At 38.4% G+C, this 23,413-nt stretch overlaps 2 long non-coding RNA genes across 3 annotated transcripts in view, besides 1 other annotated feature; both read left to right on the top strand.

Moving 5' to 3' along the window:
• FMO1-AS1 (FMO1 antisense RNA 1) overlaps window positions 1-23,413 on the top strand; it is a 131,518-nt gene that overhangs the window by 15,669 nt on the left and 92,436 nt on the right. The gene's annotated exons all lie outside the window — the stretch shown is intronic.
• LOC124900413 (uncharacterized) overlaps window positions 11,860-23,413 on the top strand; it is a 28,272-nt gene continuing 16,718 nt past the window's right edge. The window contains exon 1 of the long non-coding RNA XR_007066731.1: window positions 11,860-12,224. This is a non-coding gene — a long non-coding RNA (uncharacterized LOC124900413). The remainder of the gene's footprint in view (window positions 12,225-23,413) is intronic.
• Window positions 16,027-16,588: an enhancer, noted in NCBI's record as "NANOG-H3K27ac hESC enhancer chr1:171188772-171189333 (GRCh37/hg19 assembly coordinates)". NCBI's record gives its function as "activates a minimal SCP1, AML or CMV promoter by ChIP-STARR-seq in naive H9 embryonic stem cells {active_cell/tissue: H9 hESC(naive)}" and the evidence as "EXISTENCE:reporter gene assay evidence [ECO:0000049][PMID:30033119]".

Genomic DNA, 23,413 nt, shown 5'->3' with positions numbered 1-23,413 from the left:
GGCGCAGCTGTAAAATTCCTCTCTTTGTACTGTCTCTCTTTATTTCTCAGCTGACTGACACTTACGGAAAATAGAAAGAACCTACGTTGAAATATTGGGGGCAGATTCCCCCAATACATATTATGGTTTTTTCAATGGGAGCCTTCAAATGCCACTGTTTCTTGTTGTCCATCTTGGTCCCACAGCCTTGTTATATTTAGAGTAGTATAGTATAGTGGAGTGAAGCAGAAAGGATACTAGTGAGGAATCAAAGTTCCTTAACATCCTTATCTGTAGAGGGGTTTAATCATTTTTGCTTTGCCTAACCCACAATGTTGTGGTGGGGATCAGGTAGGATAATATTTATAGAAGTTCTTTGTAAATAGTTGCAGAACTCTATTAACTAAAGCTCAAAAGCTTGCATTTGTTTTTTTCTTGTGCCTCTTGGTATTCCCAGACATAGCACAGTGCCTGGCATGTAGTAGGTGCTTTATAAATGTTTAATAAATGAATAAACTGTAAGCCATATGTCCTTGCTTGAAGAGGATATTTAGGTCTTTCTATGATACTATGAGTCTTGTAAAAGTAACAACTCCAAGCTGGTCTCTTATGTGATACACAGAGTTTTTAGCAACTTTTCTAAGGCTCAGGCAACCTGAGGACTTTTTTAAGATTTATGTAACTTGGATAGCAGCTGGGGTCTCCCTGTACCCAGGCACATACCATCAATTTCACAGCTCTGTCCATGACTTCTGCTTACTACTTCATGGCTTTGTCCATGTCTGCATTGGCCTCAGATCGTGCTGTTATTGTTTTGCCTCCTATCAATCTATGTATAAAGCTTAGCTCCTTTTCAATTCCACAAAAAATCCACCTCCACTACATATTTTTTGTGTTTAATAACTTTACTGAATATACAAAGGGCCACAGGGAGACATCACTTTGAACCTACACAGCATTCTGTTATCCCACTGTCTCTATTCTTTCTTTTCGTTCTTAATTTTTTCCTTCATTCCTCTTCTAAATTGTTTGAAAGTTCTTTCTGTTATCCTGAGAATGCAATTCTGCCCAAAACAAGGTCCTTCAAAGTGTCTACTTTTTTCTTCAGGCACTTATGAGGATATTTTTAGTGAACAAATGCAGTTCCCTTTTTTATACAGATACCTTAATACCTAAATCATTACAATATTTATGAATGTGGACACAAACAAATTAAAACCATTCTTTGAGGGGGAAACAGGGTCTCACTCTCTTGCCCAGGCTGGAGTGCAGTGGCACAACCATGGCTTACTGCAGCCTCAGCCTCCCTGGGCTCAGGTGATCCTCTTATCTCAGCCTCACAACTAACTGTGATTACAGGCGTGCACTACCAAACCTATTTTAAAATCATTTCTGAAATTTCTTTGACAACCTGTAGTTTGTCAACTTTTCAATACTGTTGAGGATCACTTGTAATTTTTGTATATAAAGAGGGAACAAAACATTAACATAATATTCCATCTGGGATATAAGATGCACACTGAAGAATTCAGAGATAAAACATGATTTAAAAAAATAGTTTAATCATCCTATATGCCAGCATTTAGCACAGGGCCGAGAGTCAGACAGTCCTGGCAGTAAACCCCATCTGGGCCCACTTGTAGGCCATATAACTTGGGAAAGTTGTTTACTCTGTGTATTAGTCCATTTTCACACTGCTATAAAGATACTACCTGAGACTGGGTAATTTATAAAGACAGGGAGTTTAATTAACTCACAGTTCCATGTGGCTGGGGAAGCCTCAGGAAACCTATAATCCATGCAGAGGGTGAAGGGGAAGCAAGGCACATCTTACATGGTGGCAGGATACATGGTGGCAGGAAAGAGAGAGAAGGGGGAAGCACCAGGCACCTATCAAACAACCAGATCTTGTGAGAACTCATTCACTCTCACAAAAACAGCATGGGGGAACCATCCCCATGATCCAATCACCTCCCATCAGGTGGCTCCCTCAACATGTGGAGATTACAATTTGGATTACAATCTGAGATGAGATTTGGGTGGGGACACAGCCAAACCATATCACTCTGACTCTCTGAGTTTCCTGATGCACAAAAGAGGTTGTCAGAATTAAATATAATTAAATAAAATTGAATTGTTTATAATGTGTAGTGGCTTTTAGTATTTTATCCAGGTTACTTAAGTTGCTAAAACTTGAAATAGCTCAACATCTAGAGAAACTGATGCTCTTTAATAATCAATTACTCTATTAGCCAGCAGCTCAAAGTGCAGGGATGTCTAACAATAAAACTCTTTTTATTAGTTATAATTAAAATCCTTCTCCCAGAATATGAGAGCATATAGATGGAAACCTAAGTATTAAAGCACAAGTTTTAGATATACAACTGTCATCTACATGATTTGAGTAGCCAGTTATTACAATGGTTTGTTTGGACTGGTAGTAGAAGAAGCAACACACGATATTCAGAAGACTTGACCAGTCATGTGACCCTGGGCAGTGCCTTGATTTCTCTCAGCCTGTTTTCTTATCTAAGAGCATTCTGTTCAGTCCCTTCCACACCTAAAATGATCCAATGACTTGTGGTAATGCTTTGATTGCAAAGTATAATTGCTATTACTGTATTGTTGAAATTAATAAATTATTTATCTAATAAATTAATTTAATCAATAAATTTAGTTAATTAAATTGGCCTAAAGATGCCTCTGTAGGAAACTATATTCTAACTTAAAATGTAAACAAACTATGACCTAACTCGAGAGTGCATTTTTGTAATTGAGTTTTGGCCAATTATAGTAGCTGAACTTTCAGCCAATCACAGGTGAAAACTTCTCAGACATGTCCATATAAGGCAAATGCTGTGCTGTGACCAATCAGGCTCTTTCTGTATATAACTTCCTTTTTCCATCTGTAAATACTGCCTGCCCATCTTGTTGGGTGAAGCATTCTGGACCTTTAGTGGTTCAGGCAGCTGCCTGATTAATACATTTTTTTCTTTGTTAAAATAAACTCTGCTAAATTTAATTTGTCTACAGCTTTTCTTTGAGCAATTGGTGTCAGAAGTTGGATTTGGAGTAGACCTTCAGGGACCCCCAGGAGCACTGAGTGACAAAGTAAAAGTACTCACCAGGGCTCATCGTGCCCATTGATCTCTTGTAACAACTGGAGTCATGGGTGAATTCTGTCCTGAATTTGAGCTCCATGGATTTGTGTGATAAACTCTCTAACTTTACTTGAGCACTTTTTAGTTGACTGGGTCTAGGATCAAATTGGACTTAATAATTAACTAGATTGGATCTAGTTAGAGGCCTCATGTAGGTACCTTTCAAATCAAAAAGGAGTCTGGGACTCTAGGAGTCTGAGACTCCACTTTCTGCCACACTGGCTACCTTTATGTGCACAAATTCTGGGCCCAGAACCTGTATGTTCTGGGGAAAATGGGTTAACTTTACTAGTGACTACAGTGGGGATGTGTTAACCTAGATAAAATTGTTCACTTGCAAAGTGCATTAGAAAACAAATGCAAAAAGCCAAAAAAAAAAATGGAATGCATTCTGTAAGTGGTACAAAGAGGCATCTAAAGGATTAAATGAATCAAAGATTCTCTCTTTAAAAGGTTCTTTACAGAAGGCAAATGAAAAGCATCTTAAAAGTATTTTTCAAAAATGCCAGTCAAAATCTTTAGCCATTGGGCAAAAAATCCTAGTTCTAATGAACAGAAAATATTTGGATTCAGATGTTCTTTAAAAAAAATTGTGTAATTTAAAAAATTCATTTGTAGAGATAGGGTCTTGCCATGTTACCCAGGCTGGTTTTGAATGCCTGGTCTCAAGTGATCCTCCCACCTCAACCTCCTAAAGTGCTGGGATTATGTGCATGAGCCGCTGTTCCAAGCCTAGATCCAGATATTCTTTAATAAATTAGTGAGCTTGTATTATTGCACTGGCACACGGCTAAAATATTAGAATGAAAGCTGTAAGATCTGTTTCTGTCTGTATGTTTATATATGTCTCTATATATGATATCTATGTGTGATATTTTTCTATCTACTTATGATATTGCTAAATTAAGTGCTAAAAGAACTCTAATTGGCTTTAAGAAAAATAAGTGTTTACATAAATGAAGTATTTGTTTAGAAAAATAAGAACTAACCCAAGTAGTTTTCAAGTTCACATGATTTGGGTAATCTTTGATAAATTAGGATACTGTTGGTTTAATTAAAACAGGCATGTCTTCAGATTTTTCAGTACTAAATATAATACAGATGCATGACTTTTCCTACCTAGGGTTACCAATAAAATAAATTTATTTTATGTCTATATTACAAAACTTGTCAGCAAGAAAAATAAGATGATGACTAGCTGCTTAATATTTAACCTTTACAAGCAATCCAAGTGAAATTGTTAAAAAAGTGAGTTAAATGGATGTAAGATAAAGTTCTCATGTAAAAAAATTCTTTCTGTACCAGAAAGTTTTGACATTCTTATCAAGAAAGAAAAGTTGAGGCTGAGGGTAATCTGTAATAACAACAATTTAATTCTCAGGCCTAGCAAACAAACAAACACACAAACAAACAAAAACAAACCCTTAGGAGGACAGACATGCAATTTTGCCTCCTCTACAGTTTCTTATTGCAGAGGGACTAAGGATATTTGGGAATGTTAGTAAATATCTTCTATGCCACACTGACAAATTGTACTATGAGAAAGGATGTGCTTCTAGAAACTATGATCATACATTTGCCAATTTACAGATTGCTGGTGTGACAGACAGTTCACAGCTGCTTGCTTCCTAATGTTCCCTGGAAATTAAAGTCACTAGAGATTAAGAATTCTAATTAATACATGTAAGTAAAATCACTAGAACTAATAATGGAAACAACTCTGTATGCAAGAATACAAGGAAAGTAAGATTTACTTTTGATAAGGAAAAGCTATAAGATATGAGAATGTTATGTTTTGTTAAGGAAAAAAGAATAATTTTTGGACTAAAGTAGAATGACTGGTTTTTCCAAAATGAAAAGAGGTAAAGTACAGGACAAAAACTGAATGATGAAAAAGTTGTAGAGAGTTTGTGAAAGATAAATCTTTTTTTTTCTTGTATGTTCTTTCAATGTAGAAGATGAATCGTGGAATAAATTTCATGTGTGACCAGGCTAGCTAGGATTAGAAAGAACTATTTACAAGTTTTTCTAAAAATTCAGTATTAGTATGAGAACTACACTGATACAAAACTAGAATTTGGTGTTTCTGTTAAAACAACATTTTCTTGGTCTACTTCTAACAGGAAATTGTGAAAGGTTTTTCTTTCCATTTTAGATAATTGGTGTAGGAGATAAATATTCTGTATTTTACTAAGATAATGTCCAGTGCTTCATGCTGTCTTTATTAGGTTTTTTATTTCATAAGAGAACTGAGTCTTCTCTATTAAGAGAGCTAAAGTTTTTCTACAACTATGTAGCTTTCTATATTTGCCTTTGAAGTGTTTTAATTATCACTTTGGTTAAATAAATTACTACTATTCACAGTGACCTGTGATCCTATTAAATATTTTGCTCAAGTGTTTCAAACCTTTGATATTTTGGACAGACTTCCCAAATATAAAATGTAAAATTAAACCTTTTTCTTGACCTTGAATTAACTTTGAGATTTTCCACATGGGCCCTTGGAACACATCAAAAGGATATCCATCCTTACAAAAGATAGATAATAAGTATTTGGGCTTATTTGATACATTAAATTATATGAATAGTACTGTCAAAAATAAGTAATGCTTAACTTTCTTTGGGTTATTTTTGTGTGTATGTGTTATTACTATATGGTTTGGAAATTGTATGAAATTCATAGACATCAAGTTGTCCTCATATAATGCTGGTATTCATAATTCTAGTTATTATCTTAAAATGTTGTATGAAACAGAAGTAACTTCATTTCCTTATCAATTCCATCATTATTGTAGTGAATTTTCATTAGGTCTTTTTATTTTTCTTTTCTTGTCTGTCTTTTCTTGCTTTTTCTTATCTTCTTTTCTTTTCTGTTCTTTTCTTTTTTCAGAGGCAGAGTCTCACTCTGTCACACAGACTGGAGTGCAGTAGTATGGTCACGTCTCACTGAAGCCTTGGGCTCTTGGGCTCAAGCAATCCTCCCACCTCAGTCTCCCAAGTAGCTGGACTACTATGCACAACAACACCTGGCTAATTATTTTATTCTTCGTAGAGACAGGGTTTCACTATGTTGCTCAGGCTGGTCTTGAACTCCTAGGCTCAAGCAATCATCCTGCCTCAGCCTTCCAAGGTGCTGGGATTAGAGTCATGTACCACCATGCCTGGTCTCATCAGGTTTTTAACCATGGCAATTTTAAGTCTTGTCATTCACAGATGGTTAATTGTTTACTATGGTACTTTCCTGGGCAACTATAAGCCTAAAGTGTTTCATCTTCAAGAAGACTCATGAAAAGGACACTGACAAATATAGTTTTCTGATAACTTTAAGATCATACCATTGGACTGGCTAAGAATTCTACAATGAAAAAATTGACTGGTTCATAAAACTGTGAACCCAATATATGTCAGGACAAGAATTAATTAGATATCAGTGAAATGATTTGGCAGACTTTTATGCTAAGTCAGCCAGTACTGAAATTGTTAAGATATGCAATTTGAATAAACTTTAAAAGTTTGATCACTGTCAAATTACCTATGATAACCTATTTAATGAGCAGTACTATTCACCTGAATTGGAGAAACAAAATTGGTATTTAAAAAGACGTAAATGCAATATTAAGCATTAACTCATGAAGAGTCTGGACAGCTGCTTGGTCCTTCCTGAGTCCTTAAAGCTTCCATTATTAAGAGCTCTGAATTCCATATTCATCATGACAGAGATAAAATGATTCAAATTATGAAAAAATATTGATGGCATGACTTTTAAAATTGCTAAAATTTATAACCAATTTTGGTTATAAATTGTCAAACTCATAGTTCTGATAAGAAAATAAAAACTTCAGGTGATACACACCTGCTGGATCATTTGAACACTTAAAAATGGAGTTCCTTCAAGTGACACATTAAATGTATGTTTTCTGGTTGTATAGAAGCTTTCCCATGCAGGAAGGCTGATGCCATAATAATAGCTAAAGTTTATTAGAAAATGTGTTTCCCTTGGCTGGGCACAGTGGCTCACACCTGTAATCCCAGCACTTTGGGAGGCCGAGGCGGGTGGATCATGTCAGGAGATCGAGATCATCCTGGCCAACATGGTGAAACCCCGTCTCTCCTAAAAATACAAAAATTAGCTGGGCGTGGTGGTGCGTGCCTGTAATCCCAGCTACTGGGTGGGCTGAGGCAGGAGAATTGCTTGAACCAGGGAGACAGAGGTTGCAGTGAACCGAGATTGCGCCATTGCACTCCAGCCTGGTGACAGAGTGAGACTCCGTCTCAAAAGAAAAAAATAAAAAGGAAAAAAGAAAATGTGTTTCCCTTATCATTCATTCCTGGAGAAATCTTCAGTGATAGAAGTACTCATTTTGTGTCTGGAATTGGTTCCTTCCGGTGGGTTCTTGGTCTCACTGGCTTCAAGAATGAAGCCATGGACACTCGCGGTGAGTGTTACAGCTCTTAAAGATGGTGTGTCCGGAGTTATTTGTCCCTCCCAGTGGGTTTGTAGTCTCGCTGACTTCAGGAATGAAGCTGCAGACCCTCCCGGTGAGTGTTACAGCTCATAAAGGTAGTGCGGATCCAAAGAGTGAGCAGCAGTAAGATTTATTGTGAAGAGTGAAAGAAGAAAGCTTCCACAGCGTGGAAGGGGACCCAAGCGGGTTGCCACTGCTGGTTTGGGTGGCAAGCTTTTATTCCCTTGTTTGGCTCCACTCACATCCTGCTGATTGGTCCATTTTACAGAGTGCTGATTAGTCCTTTTTTACAGAGTGCTGATTGGTGCGTTTACAAACCATTAGCTAGACACAGAGCACTGATTGGTGTGTTTACAATCCTTTAGCTAGACAGAAAAGTTCTCCAAGTCCCCACCCAACCCAGAAGCCTAGCCTGCTTCACCTTTGAATTTCACTGGACAAGTTGTAAAACAGTTAAATAAGATATTATAAATACAATGGCATTAGGCGAAGCTAACTACATTGATTGGATTGCCTTAGTCAAAGGCAATTATCAACTGATGGCAATCACACTCATCCTCACTAGAAATCTAGGTTGACTGCTTATGAAATTAAATATTTGAAATTATGAAATAGTTACTTCAAGGCTTATTCCGTTAATAATAAAACCTATGGATCTTTTGCTTTTGTAAACTCTGACATGACTCAATAGTGCCATGCTTTGACGCATTATGCCAAAGCACATTTTCACTAGGTAAGAAAAGCCCTTTGTGACTCACAAATTGATGACAAGCAGACCTTTCATGATTTAGAGCAATGAGGTTGGGTCTTTTGGAAATGACACCAGAGGAAGACTGCCCTTGATAGGGACTATACCAAGTTCTTCTTTGCAGCAAAACCTCAGGGTTTTGAGTCTCGTATTCACATCTTTTTACTAAGAAGGGCTCCTCCAGACTCCTGGTGTATATTTGTTGGAGGCCTTAAGGTAAAGATGACCAGGGAAGTTTTTCCCCAGAGGCAGATGGTATCCTAGACATAGACACTTTCCTAAGACCATAGAATAAGATTTCTCTGTCATCACGAAAGCCTTATTTCTCCCCTTTCCCCCTAGTTTTCTGCTGTCTGAATCACTTCCTTTTCCTTAAAGGAAAATCCACGGGAGCATAATCTGTGTGTGGCTTTATCAAAAGCTTATGCCCTAAAAAGAAATGAGAGCAATTGTTGGGTTTGTAGGCTAATGCCACCATATCAGAAAACAATTTCTCTCATGCCAATGTCTGTGTTCCCATTGAGAGTCATCATGAAGCCCTAGAGGAAGAGTGGAAAGCTTTCCTTAAAATTCTAGACATTACTGCTACTTACTTTTCTACACTCACTAGAAATAGTACCACGAACTTTCCAATTAATAACCTAATTGTTACCAAATATAGAAAACATATCTGAGTGATGTCTGTAAAAGGTATATCACATATTCAAGACCTGGGGACTACCAATGCAGGTATGAGTAATTGCTTGTATGATGTCACTGAATTAAATCTGGAAGCTCCTTTTCCACTAAATGTGGTTATGCACCCTTACAGCATACCCTTTGAGTAAGTTTCTCACTGTACCTTACTCAGGAGCTATGTGAACTTGTGGACAAATTTAATTGACTTCTGCTCAAACACCACTAGGTGGCCATCTTTCCTAGCCCCTGAGGGCCTACATTGGGACTGAAGAGAATTTACTTACCTCTTCCTCACTGGTTCAGATTTTGCTATATGGCCTGTCTCCCTCCTACCTTCTGAATAGCTTTTCCTGAAAGTTCCCATTGTATCTTTCATAACCAGAGGCCAAAGCAATCAATAACCAAAATTAGCACAAACCTTGAAATAGATGGAGATAAGTTAGTTTCCTTGGAGGAAATGTTCCTGTGGGGTTATTGGGGGCACACTCTTGGCAGTATTGGGGTGCTGGTTGTATAGAATTTGAAGATAGTCTGTAAATTAGGAAAAATCTTAGATTTTGTAGCCAATGTGACCGCCCAAAAGTTCAGATGCATAGAAGCTGCTCTTTGAAAGGTGTATGAAAACATTCATGTTCAACAAAAATACTTAATGGAGCATCACGCAGATCTTCTCTTTGCCTACATTGAGGACTTGTGTATAGTGCTAAACGAAACTGAATATTGTACTTACCTTTCTCCTGATTTTACTACTACAAAAAGCTTAATTTAAAATGTGGCTGATACTGATGTTTCTCTAGACACTGCCACCAAATACATCAAGGAAATTTCTCACGGGAAAGGAACACATGATGTGTTTACAGGAGCAGCTAATGGTTGATTTGCAGGTATCCAGAATGGTGGAATGGTGGATGGCAGACTTGGCTATTGGAAGGTTTTTTATTGTTTATTTTTAGCCTAATCATTTGGGGCTAATATTCCAAGGTTTTAAAATCTTTATGTGTCTTTTAGTAGGTCTTCAGACTAGTATGACTTGTGTTACCAGGCTAACTACAGAATCAGGCACCTCTTTAAAGGAGGGCATTTTACTACTAACTATGGCCCTTAATCACCGTCATGCCCTGAACAAAGACTATAACCAATAGGACTTGAATACTGTTGAATTGTCTTTATTATTGCTTGAACTTTAAATTGCTTAATTTAGATTATTTTGGTTTGTAGAGACTCCTGTTAAGTAGTGTACTTTAATTTTTTAATTTTTTGTATTTTTCCTCCTGATAACCATTATAATATTCTTCCTAATGTATTGTATCCCTTAAGAGTCTTTCTCTCTCTTTTCTTTTCTTTTCTTTTCTTTTGACAGGGTCTGGCTCTATCACCTAAGCTGGAGTGCAGTGGTATGAGTGGTATGATCTCCATTCACTGCAACCTCCACCTCCTGGACCCAAGCTATCCTTTCACCTCAGCCTCCAGAGTAGCTGGGACTATAGGTGTGCACCACCATGCCCAGCTAATTTTTGTATATTTTTGTAGAGAAGGGGTTTTGCCATGTTACCCAGGATGGTCTTGAACTCCTGGGCTCAAGCAATCCACCTACCTTGGCCTTCCAAAGTGTTGGAATTACAGGCATAAGCCTCCATGCCTGGTCCCTTAAGAGTCTCAAATGCTCATATGGAGCCATCCGTTGTACATCAACTAATCTCATTATAGTTAGAAAAACAAAAATATCAGGAAAACATAAAGAATAATCCAACAAATTCGACATTGTGAATTGTGAATTTTATACTGAGACCAAACAAGTCCATTATGATGGTGAAAAAAATTGGACCTAGGTTATGGTCAATTTCTCAAAATTCAAAGGCTGATAAAAGAGGGGAATTGTTAAATTAAACTTTGGCCTAATGCTGTCTCTAAATGAAGCAAACTATAACCTAATATATATAAATAAAGCATAATATATGTTATATGTATGTTTTATATATATACATTATATATGTATATAAACCTATATATATATATATATATATATATATATATATATATATATATATAAACCTACCTTGAGACTACATTCTTGTAACAAGCAACTGAGTCTCAGTTAACTGTAGCAGCTGAGCTTTTGGCCAATCACAGGCTGCAAACTGCTCAGACATGTCCAAATAAAGCAAGTGCTAAACTGTAACAAATCAGGCTATTTTGTTATGTCACTTCCTTTTTCTATCTATAAATATGGACTGCCCACATTGCCAGGTAGAGTCTTCTGAACCTTTACTGGTTCAGGGTAATGCCCAATTCATGAATCATTTGTTTGCTCAAATAAATTATGTTAAACTTAACTTGTCTAAAGTTTTTATTTTAATAGCACCATGCTCTTTGAAATGCCTGTTCCTTGGTGCTGTAAAGAAATAGCACTTGAACATAAATTCAATTTCCTCAGCAAGGCCATTTCTATACTTTCTGCAGAAAGGGTACACTCACCAGCAGTTTTGCCATGAGAGTACACAGAACAAAGGAGACAGGGTCATTTATAACTTGATGCGTCCACCTTACCACCTTACTGCTGTGTCCGGTTTCCATTGGCTAGAACAGGACCTCACATTCTGTATTTGTCCCGATTGGCTAGCAACTTAGAACACTTTAAAAGAGGCAAAAGCAGAGGAGAACAAAGGAAGGAGGAAGTAACTTGTAGAATGCTGAGAAAAGTAAAAACACCTTCAAATAAGGAAGAGAAACAGGCTATGACCTAATGCTTGCTTGGACTAGTATGAGCACGCCAAGGCAAATATTTAGGCTAAATTGTAAGAGCTAAGAACATAAAGTACATTGATTTCTTTATTATGGCTAGCAGATAGTTAAGAATGTTACTATAGGTCTTTCAATAAATTTTGCTTTTAAGGGAAGTTACTATTTATTCCTAATTAAATGGGGAGACAAGTCTTTCCAGAGGAACTTCTACTTTACTTTTTACAATTCCTCCTCTTATTTCATAATTCTTCTTCAAACTTGTTTAATATGTTTTGACTTAATTGCTTTGTTTGTCCTTTTAAGAGAAGTAATTTTTCTGAATAAGGTGGAGGAGAGTTAGGAGTTAACTCTGTAAGCATGGCAGAGACAGGTTTTTGTGTAAAACTTCGACGGTAGGGAATAATATAACAGCCTACAAGAATAAGTACACCAATAACAACAGCAAATGAGGTGAGAATTGAAGTTAAAATTTCTTTTTATCTACTGAACAAATGTTTTATTACTTTAGAAAAAGGGTTATTTATTTTATTATTTTTGGCAAGTTTATTGGATAGGGTTTTTAATTCTTGTAGCACTTTTGTTATAATTCTGTCAGGGGCAGTATTTTTAGGAACAAAGGTATAACATTAAATTTTAAGTATGACACAAACATCTTCTTTTTCTGCTAATATTATATTTAAAGTTATTTTATTTTTCTAGGCCATCTGGCTGATAGGTCCTAATTGCTTAGGTATCTCTTTGATGGTGTCCTCAGTGTAATTTATGAATCGTTGCTGATTGTAATAGATATAGTTTATTTAGCCTACTTTTTTTTATAGTTACTTACTAGAACAATGTGGATTTAAATTCTGCAGCTAATTGATTTTGTGCTTTAAACTTATTTGGCACTTCTCACAGGACTTTAATGGCATTTATGTAAACCTGAGGATTAAAGGACTCATAAGGAGTTTCCTTTGGCCTGAGGTGTTTTGTTTTTACCTTTTTAGATTGATGAATTGCTACGGTGAAAGGGATAGCGAATTGGATTAGAGCACAAGTACTGTTCTAATTATTTGGCAGAGTGTCTAATAAAGGTCTTCTACAGTACTACTATACATTTGCTTGGGGATGGCTAAGCATAGACTGATAATCAAGCTCTTGGAAAGACTTGAGCTCCTTGCATTTTTTTTATGCTTCCAAGGAACACCAAATTTTCCTCTTGCTATGAGAGGCATGAAGTAAACTTGGCCATCTGAGATGGAAGCTGGATTGCCCTTGGGGGCTGACCCGTAGGGTGTTGAATTTCAGGAAATAGCAGATAGAGAGCTCGGCATGATGTATTATCCTAAGCCATGGGATTCTGAAAGAGAGCCACCATACACTCCATATCTGGTTGACAAGGAGACCATCCAAGTGGAAAGGGGACAATCTGGGCCTCTGGCCTACCATGTGTACAAGCATAATAATCGCTTTTATTTAAAGTGCGAACGGAATATTTAATTCATTCCAGCCAGGCATTTGCATCTTGATATTTTTGTCTTGATGGCTAAGGTCTGTCTTAGATCTCTTATTTTTACAACAGACAGCTTAGTTTTATTATTAGATGTAGGAGCAACTGGTGTGGGATCTAGAACTGAGGCTACTGAAGAAGGGGAAGATGGGAGAATCATGCATACTTTAAAAATACTTAGGGGTCTTTTCCATTTATGTCAATCTTCATACCATAGAAGCAACTAAGGGCTGGCCTAGAGTTAGTCAAGGTGGAGGTGGTGATAAAGAGAAGGACAGGGTTACATAGATAAGGCTGCCAGTTAGAAGGGGTAGTCCTTTTAGTGAAATAGATGAGGGGTTTTAGATCTGCACAAACCTTTTTTGTGGAAGTCCAACTTTGCTTCTAAGTAGTTTAAAGGACATAGTCCTATTTTCTACAAGGTTGCCAGGCTGCAGGAGCAGAAAATCAGTGTCTTGGCTGCAGCTGATCACAATGATGAGTGCTAGGGGTAACTGTGTCCAGTAGAGAGCCGGGTCATAAATATTTGTGTGAAAAGGCTAGCTGTCATTGATCTTTTACATCTCCACAAGGTATGACAGAGCAAGCATTAAAGGTAATGGTCTGAGGTGAGTCAGACTTAGTTACATTAATAACAAAGAAGCTAGTAACAGAATAAGGAAAGGAAAGGAAGCAATATAGAAGGTATATGAAAATTAAGCTTTCTTTAACTTTAACTTAGTAGGGCTTGATCTTAGTACAGTAACATGATTCTGAAGAGGAAGATGTTTTCTTGACTCGAGTATGGTGGGTCCATTCTTTCTCAGCTGTGTGGACGGCAGTCTCAGTGGTTAACAGCATAAAATAGGATCCTTCCCAGGCTGGCTTGAGTTTTTTTCTATCTTTTGATGAGAATGTGGTTTTCAGGCTGGTGCTGGTGTACTGGAAATTCTAGGAATGGTACTTGTGCTAAAATACTTTCAGTTCTGAGGGAAGGGAAAGTGGAAGATAAATTAAGTGTGTAATTTCTGCTGCATATCCTGGGGCTTGAGGCCTCATGGTGACACCTCCTGCTCCATCTCTGCTCAGCACTGCCCAGGGGATGCTGTGGCCTTGCCCTCTCTTAAGGTCTTGGCCTTCTTGTGGCCTTCACCGCCCCTGTGCACTGTGGCCTTGGGGATGAGGAGCCTTGTGACTTACCCAGCCACTTTTGGGCCTTAAGAAAGCTAAACACCGTTTTATATTTGACAGTGTTTTTGTATGATTTTATACCAGATAAGTTAAATTTTTTATATTAATGTGCTATTAATGTTAAGCTTAATTTTAATAAAATCTTGTAGATATTTAATCTATTTTTGATGTCTGACTATAAGGTAAGACTTTTATAGACTCTTTTTAACTGTTTATAATTTTTGCTAAAGAGCAGGTTAGTGCTTTAAGAAAAATCTATTGTGCTTTTATTTTAATGTCCAGTTCACAGAAAAACTGGATGATACCTCTTTAACTTTAGCCATTATGTTTACACACAGAATTTCCTTTACAATTAACATTTTAAAACTTGCTTAAACTTTTAAAACAAAATATATATTTTTAACTTTTTAATGTATGTAAAAACCTATATTTTTATGCCTCCTTATAATCCTGTTATTAAAAATATATTTTATTTTTCTTACATACCTTGTAAATAAACTGTTTTTCAAATAATTTTACATTCAGGAGGCCTACTTACTTTTTAAATTATACAATATTTCTGGCATAAATTCCTTTTCATAACTTTTCTTACAACTTTCACAATCTTCAACATGCCTTAACTTTCTGCCTTCCTTTTACACTCTTTGTTTTCGTAGTTTCACCTTCTGTGTCTTTCTTTGATTTCTGTCTCTTCCAGTTTCTCTCTTACTTACTCTTTCCATCTATTTATCTCTCTCTCATTTGCACTCTGTTTCTCTCTCTCTCTCTGTCATCCCGTTTCCTTTTCCCCTCCTGAGTTCTCTCGCTCCCACCAACGGCAGGGTCAGGCCACGGCACGGGCCCCACCCCTGCGCATACATTGCCATCTGTTTCTCCTGTTTTTGTTTGTTTGTTTGTTTTCCGATTTCCCTTTTTACTTTTTTTTCCCCTTTCTTCCTACACTTAGTTTCTTGGGCTGGGTGGGATTTGCACAGCTGCAGTCCTGGCCCCAGGCAGTCCCCCACACTCTCCTTCTGGCATCAGTCCCTGCCCTCTTTTTCACATAGAGCCTGGCTGGGGAGAGGGGCTTAACTCTTGGTGTGCCTGGCTGTCTGGTGTCGCACTTGCTGTTTTTGCTGTCTTTCTCCTTTCCCTTCCCCTAGGGGAGCAACCGGCGGGAGTGGAGCTTAGCCTTTTCTTTCCCGGAGAAGAGGGAAAAGGAGAATTTTGAATATATACGTATATATAATTTTTTTTACTACCAGAGGTTTTTGTGAAGTTCAATCCCCTCACCAATGGCGATTTCTCACTTCTTTTTGAGATTCAACTTCTTATCTATGGGGATTTCTTACTTTTTTTTGAGGTTCAACCTCCTCTCAGTGGGAATTTCTTACTTCTTTTTGAGGTTCAACCCCCCATGGGGATTTTTCACTTCTTTCTGAGGTTCAACTTCTTTCTTAATGGAGATTTCTTACTTCTTTTTAACTTCTAAGACATCTTGACTAAGGAATACTTCACCACCACCCCCTCCCCACCCCCGAGGCTTTCTTTCCTTAGTCCTGACTAAGGAATGCTTTACCCCCCATTGTGGTTTCTCTTTTTTCGGAATGTCTTAATTAAGGAATGCTTTACTGCCTTGTGGCTTTTTCTTTGGTTTTGACTACTAAGGAAATACTTTACTGGTTTTTCTGTTTTTTTTTTTTTTTTTCTTGTCTGTGTACAGAGTTTCTTGGTTCATGTGATATGTGAGGATGCTTTACTCCAGGTTGCCAGCCAGTTTTTATTGTTGTTGTTGTCTTTCTTTTTTTCTTTTCTTTGTGTGTGTGTGTGTGTGTGTGTGTTACTGAGAGTCTGGGTTTATTCATCACACTGGGTGGGTCTCGAGTCCTTATCCTTGAGGCTACTGCAGAGAGGCAGAGGACCATGCTTCTTCATGAGACAGGACTGGAGACTGCCTCCATATGAGAATGTATCCCCGTACAGGCCACCAAATTATTTGAAATGTTTGTTCCTTGGTGCTGTAAAGAAATAGCACTTGAACATAAATTTAATTTCCTCAGCAAGGCCATTTTTATGCCTTCTGCAGAAAGGGTACACTTGCCAGCAGTTTTGCCATGACAGTACACCAAACAAAGGAGGCAGGGTCATTTATAACTTGATGTGTCCACCTTACTGCTGTGTTCAGTTTCCATTGGCTGGAATGGGACCTCACATTCTGTATTTGTCCCAATTGGCTAGCAACTTACAACTTTTTAAAAGAGGCAAAGGCAGAGGAGAACAAAGGAAGGGGGAAATAACTTGTGGAATGTTGAGAAAAGTAAAAACACCTTCAAATAAGGAAGAGAAACAGGCTATGACCTAATGCTTGCTTGGAATAGTGTAAGCATGCCAAGGCAAATATTTAGGCTAAATTGTAAGAGCTAAGAACATAGAGTACATTGATTTCTTTATTATGGCTAGCAGATATTTAAGAATGTTAGTATAGGTCTTTGAATAAATTTTGCTTTTAAGGGAAGTTACTATTTATTCCTAATTAGATAAGGAGGAAAGTCTTTGAAGAGGAACCTCTACTTTACTTTTTACAATGCTGAAGAGTGGCAATGTGACTATTAGGTACAAAATTGTCATCTTGCCATTAGTGTCAGTTACCATGATAAAATGACATTCAATTTAACCATCATAAAAGCATTGACAGTGGATGAATTAGGATTATAGAATATTGGATTTGATAGACTTTAGTCATTATCTGCCCTCTATTATATGCTGAGATGAGAAAACTCAGTCCCAGAAAGGTGAGGTAACTTTTCTAGAGACTACAAAAGTAACCTAATAGTAGAAGGCAAGAGGGTAAACATTATTGCAGAGTTAAAACAAAATGGTTTGGTAATGCGGAAGCAGAGGAGACTATTTTTGGCTGGAGGGACTCAGGAAAGCCTGAGGGAGAACAACATTTGACCTAGACATTGTAGGAAGGATGGAATTTTAACTATTAGAGGCTGGGGAGGCAATAGTGGAGTAGCATTGAGACAGCCAGCTGGGAGGAGGTCCCCAGAAAAAACTCCAACCAGCATGCACACAGGGATGGAGCCTCAAATATTTGCACCATTTGCAGTGGGGAGGAGCCTGGCCCCTCCTCTTCCTGTGTGGAACCTGGAATTCGAATGACCAGGTGGGAAGCACTCTAGCAGGGGACTCTGGCCTTGTAGAGAGTCCCTGTTTCCTTTTTTTCTTTCTTTTCACCCAATAAAACCCTGTCTTACTCACCATTCAAATTGTTTGAGAGCCTGAACTTTTGTGGCTGTGGGACAAAGAACCCCATCTTTAGCTGAACTAAGGAAGAGTCCTACAACATTTTTGGCACCCAACGTGGGGCTTGAGAAGTGGCAAGTGAACTGGGGACTCAAAACCTCTCAACGTTCATTCTAAGCCTTTTCATCCTCAAATTTCTGAGGGTAGGGGAAACCATTCCCCAATCATCTATTGCTCCCAGGCCTTTTCCTTCCTTTTTTGGGACTGACCAGCAAGCAGCACCTCCCCGCTGCTCTCCCCTCCCTTCTGGGGCTGGAACGCACGGTCCAAGTGTCCTGTACAGCCAGCTGGCTGTTGTTTTCCACCATGCACCACCAAAGCCTTCACCTTCCCCTGCTAAGGGGCTTTACTCCATTGGACAGTAATTAAGCTTTTCTCCTGGTGGAGGAACCAGTTGTATAAGAATAAGAGGGTCTTTCCCAGGCATTTTAAAACTTTTTTTCTTTCTCTGCCCCACTCCATCAGCAGTTAACCTTTAATTTTTTTTTTCTTTTAGAAGACGTTTTTTACTAGGTCAGGCCCCACACCTATCACCGTTTATGTTTTCTGCAAAGCTTTTATTGTGAAATCAAGCCTCCATTTTGTTTTACATCCTGAGGGCATGGCTGGTAACCACCGCTTGGCAAGGCTTTGCTTAGCAATCCTGCCTTAGGGGATGAGCCCTCTCTGGTTTGATGTCTGCATGTTTTCCTAGCCTTGTCTCTTAAAGGTACCCACCCAGTGACTGGGTTTTCTTGTGCTTGTCTGCTTGTGTACTGTGTGTGATGTCTGTAAAAACGGCTCTAATGAATCTGGTCCAAAGAAGGACAAACACTTGAATCTAATATTTTTTAAAGGAAAGATAAAATTTCTGGTACCTTTCAGTTCATTTGACTTTAATCTTTAAGAAATAAAAACAGCCGTAAAGACTACGGTAAAATGCAGGTCAGATGCAAGGTTTGCTAAGTTTTTTGAGGTTACAAACTGTTTTTTGGGTTTTGAGACCTGTCTGTCTTGCCTGCTTCACAATTGGTAGGGCCTGGGAATATATGGAACTAAACACACCCTAGATTAAGAAGGCAAACCTTTGCAGCACTTACCACACAATTAAAGCAATTTAGCAGGTTTTACATTAAAGTTAAAAATTGCCAGGAGTTACCATTATATCACGTAATCTAAAAATAGATTTACACGCAAGATGCCTAAGAACGGTAAAATGTGTTTTTTAGTAAAAGGTTATAAGAAGGCATGGAAATGTAAACTTTTGCCTTGGATTAAAGGATTGTTTTGAGTTAGGTAGGAAAAGTTGAACGTTCAAACAAGTGATAGAAGCATTGTGGAAGTTAATCTTGCAGAAGAGGTTGTCTATGTGAACATATTGACTAAATTCAAAGGGTTATAAAAGTTTTTGCTTCTTTAAAATTTCTCAGTACCATTTTGGCAAAATAAATAATTTATGGTAACCTGGAATTCTATTTCATAATATCAAGTGCTTTAAACTTATTTAATAGGCTTCCCAAAATCAAACTTCAGTTTCCAAATGGTCTTTCCTGACACCTAACTCTTTGGATAGTCCAGAGGGCCCCTAGAATGTCCAGAAAAGAGAAGTAAACAGGATTATTTGACATGTTTAGGTACATGGTATTGCCAAAATGATGTTCAGTCTTCTTTAGGTTATATCTTGGTAAATAATGCTAATATATGTTCCAATATTGTATGGGATTTCTAAAATTCTAATGTCTAAGTGTATGCTATCAATCATAATAAGGTTGTGATGTTATTGTAAACCATGGAGATAACCAAACTTCTTTGTCGATTTTGTTTCTAACTGTAACTACCCTGGACATTTTGTAATTCACAGACAATTGTTGTCTTGTTTTAATCCTTTTCAAAAGATTGTTTATAACAAGCTATAGAACTTTAACAGGTGCTCTCAAAAACAGATTTCTGATAACTTTAGAGATTGTAACATTGGAATAAAAGAAAATGTACAGGACTCATAAAGAGCTGAAATATTCACAAATATCAAGCAAAACAAGAGTTAACTAAATGGACTGAACTGAAAAAGCTGAAGCAACCTTTTTGACTTTTGCTTGGAATATTGATGACCCTTGTTTTGTTTTTCAGTCAAGGAAACTCATTTTGAGCTATTTATGGCCTTTAATAATTAAGCAAGGTGTACTCCTATTATCAAAATTTGGAGCATGTTTGTTTCTCTCTCTCTGCCCAGTTCCTCCAGAATTTAGAACCTATCTGTGAGTATTCTTAACTTATGGCAATATAGTTGTTTGCATCCATGCAATAAGAATCCATTTTTCTTTTGCAACAGAACACAATTGGAGAAAGTGGTTATTTTACCAAGGCTTTGACTGGAAGGGTATGCTTCCTCTTAAGGAGTTAATCTCAACTGACAGAGCCAATAAAAGCCCAGTGAGGAAACTGGCCTCATACCCTTGTCTACATAGTCCCTGTACAGGGTTCCTGACCTGTGGTCAGTAAAGAATATCACTTTCTAACAGGTCTAGGAGCTCCAAGTTTATCTTGGGAACTTAAGAGGAGAGGATCACCCAACTCACAGGTGTTTAAGGATACAAACCCATGGATGGGCTCAGTTTTAAAAGGTCTTATCTGAGACTCCTTGTGGAACAGACTTCCATCAAAGCCAATCTAAAAGGCCTATGTAAAAATAATTATTCTTGCTGGACTTTATGCAAATAATCAGGCCAAGTATAAGACTAAAGTCTATTTAAACAACTAATTCCTATGATTATTTGTTTCTTAACAAAAATGAGGACTGGAGAGACAGAAATTACGTTCCAAAACTTATCATATATTTGTCACTAAATTCTAAACTCAATAGTTGTTTTTGAGTTTTTGCCTATATTTTAGACTAACCCTGCTTGCTCCTGTGAACCAACCAGCAATCCCTGGCTGCAGCTCAGAAAGAACAAAAGGGATGGGTAACATAGAAATCTGGATCAATAGTCTAGTTCCGAGCAATTATCCTGCAAATCCTGCCAGGTGATGGGAATAAATAGGATGCCCCAGACTTGGAGGTTTTCTTTTGGGGACAGTGAGACCAAGGGAGCTAACCAAAGCTGAGCATCATGCACCGAAATCCCGGCAAGCGTAACTACAGCTACCAGTTATCTGGGTGTGTCACAAGACATCCTTTCCTCTCCCTTGTTGGAGGACTTAATTCCACAGCCTCACTTTAGCATTTGGCTTATGATAAGGAGTCCATGCAACCCCCCAAGATACATTCTTGTCCCAGACTCAGTTCCAAGTGTTGGGTCAAAGCCCTAGGAAGAAAACTGGATCTGAGGAATCCAGAGGCAGATAGCAACAGAGGTTAAAAGGCACAGCACAGGTGAGTGTGGCTCATTCCTGCTGATTAAGCCAAGCCCAAGCTTCCTGTTTCATGGATAAAGGCTATATTAATATCCATAGCATAAATGCGATCTAGGGAACTCCAAGACTACTGACAGCAGGGGAAACGGCATACGTGGGTAAAAGTGGATGACTCCCCTGCCGACCCCCCCTGCTTCATGGGTGCAAGCCACTTTAAAACCCATGGCAGCACCTGCCAAGGTCACTGGAACTTGGGGATGCAAGGATGGAAGATGAAAAGAGGACACTCTTCCCTCTTTCCCTCATGTATCCCATGTATCTGCTAGGAAAAGAAGGGAACCAGAGATGTCTGCTCTCCTCTTTCTAGATGGGTAGCGATTCATCTTCAGTCTGTACCTCTTTCGAATGCATCCTGAACCCCTGGGACTCCTTTAAAAAATGCCTTCTTTTTTCCTTTTTCCCCCTCAGTTCTCTCTTCACAAATAGGTAGTTGCATCTTCATACTATGAGACACTCACATCAGATGCATCCTCCAAACTGGAAAGAGTTAATTTCCCAAACCTTAAACTGGTTGGCTTAGGATTGGGCTCAGGGGAAGGAAACCCAGAAGCCCAACATTCCGGCAAAAAGGTGAAGTTTTTTACTTTAAACAATTTTTTTTTAACCAGTCAGGCTTTTGGCCTCCCTCTCCCTGTGCAAACTGGAAAAAGACCTTAGAATTTTTGAGCTGTCTTTGTCCCTCCCTTTGTTTTGCTTTGATATATGTTTTCTAATAACCCGGTTTGTTTGTCCTTGCCTTCAGGCCATCGAACTCCAAATGGTCATGCAACCAGAGCCTCTGACAATGGCCCCTTTTGCCAGGAACCCTTAAATAGGCCTCTGAGGAAGCTCTGACTGCCGTTTCCCCAAAACAGTGCCACCTGTCAGCAGGAAGCTGTTAAGATTTGTCTTTGTCCTTATCCTTATTTTAAGGGCAGTTAGATGTACTTCTTTAGAGGGGGGAATGAGACAGCCAAGTGGGAGAAGGTCCCTGGAAAAACTCCAACCCACCTGCGCACTGGGGTGGAGCCTCAAAAATTTGCACCATTTGTAGTGGGGAGGAGCCTGGCCCCTCCTCTTCCCGTGTGGAAACTGGAGTTTGAACTCCAGGGCAGGAAGCACTCTAGCAAGGGACTCCGGCCTTGCGGAGAATCCCTGTTTCCTTTTAATTCTTCCTTTTTACTCAATAAAGCCCTGTCTTACTCACCATTCAAATTGTCTGTGAGCCTGAACTTTCATGGCTGTGGGACAAAGAACCCCGACTTTAGTTGAACTATGGAAAAATCCTGCAACAGCACAAAGCAAGACCAAGTGCCGCCATCTCTGTAGAATAGTAAGTCACATGGTTTGGCCGGAAAGCAAGCATGGTGGGCATAGCAGTGGGAGGTAAGGCTGGGAAGATAGGTTACAATCAATTAGAGAGTTTTGAATGACAAAGGAGGTGATAAACCTGTGGCAGCCATGAGAATGTGCCTCATGGATCTCTAATATAGTTAGTACAGGCAGTATAATTGACCAAGCTCTTCAGCTGCTGTACTTGAGATACATTTCGGTGCTTGTGCTAAGTCTCGCTTTCCTATGAGCTGTTTTCAGCCAGTGGGTAAGTATGTTAGAGAGACTTGGGACACCTTTGGTGGCTTGAAGACTTCTCAATGGTCCTGATGAATCTTCCTTAGACTGCACAGCAGTCTAAGATGTTTCTACCCAACCTTTCTCCCCTCTCTTTTTCACTCAGTGTCAGACTTGTGTTGCAATCTGATGACTCTTCCAGCTTTTCACTCCTTTATTTTAGTCTTCTTTCAGTTACTATAGCAGAATATATAAAGCAAAATAAATTTATTTTCTTTTACAAAGAAAAGAAATGTATTTCTTATAGTTCTGAAGGCTGGGAAGTTTAAGATTAAGGAACTGTCATTTAATTGGCCTCTGGTGAATGTCTTGATCTGCACTATGACATGGCAGAGAAGTGAAAGAGGAAGTGGGCATGTGGAAGAGGAAAGAGATGGCTGTCTGAATTCCTTCGTGATGCTGGAACCTCCCTGACCCAAACACCTCTCACTAGGTTCTACCTCCCAACACTGCTGCATGGAGGAATTAAGTTTCCAACTCATGGACTTTTGGGGGACACACTCAAACCTTAGCATACTCTCTCCTTATTTTCCTTTATACGGGTATTTTCCTTAATAAAATCCTTGCATATTTAGTCTCATTTTGACATGTGACCTGGATTAAGTAGAATCTAGTCTTAGAAGCCTTGTACTTAGCTTCATTAATCCATTTAGTCACAGGGCATAATGGGCAAGAAAGTGAGTCCTGTTAACAC

Source organism: Homo sapiens, chromosome 1 (genome assembly GCF_000001405.40).
Source record: "Homo sapiens chromosome 1, GRCh38.p14 Primary Assembly".
Taxonomy (NCBI): domain Eukaryota; kingdom Metazoa; phylum Chordata; class Mammalia; order Primates; family Hominidae; genus Homo; species Homo sapiens.
Note: the sequence above shows the minus strand (reverse complement) of the source record. Positions and strands in the feature narration are given on the sequence as shown.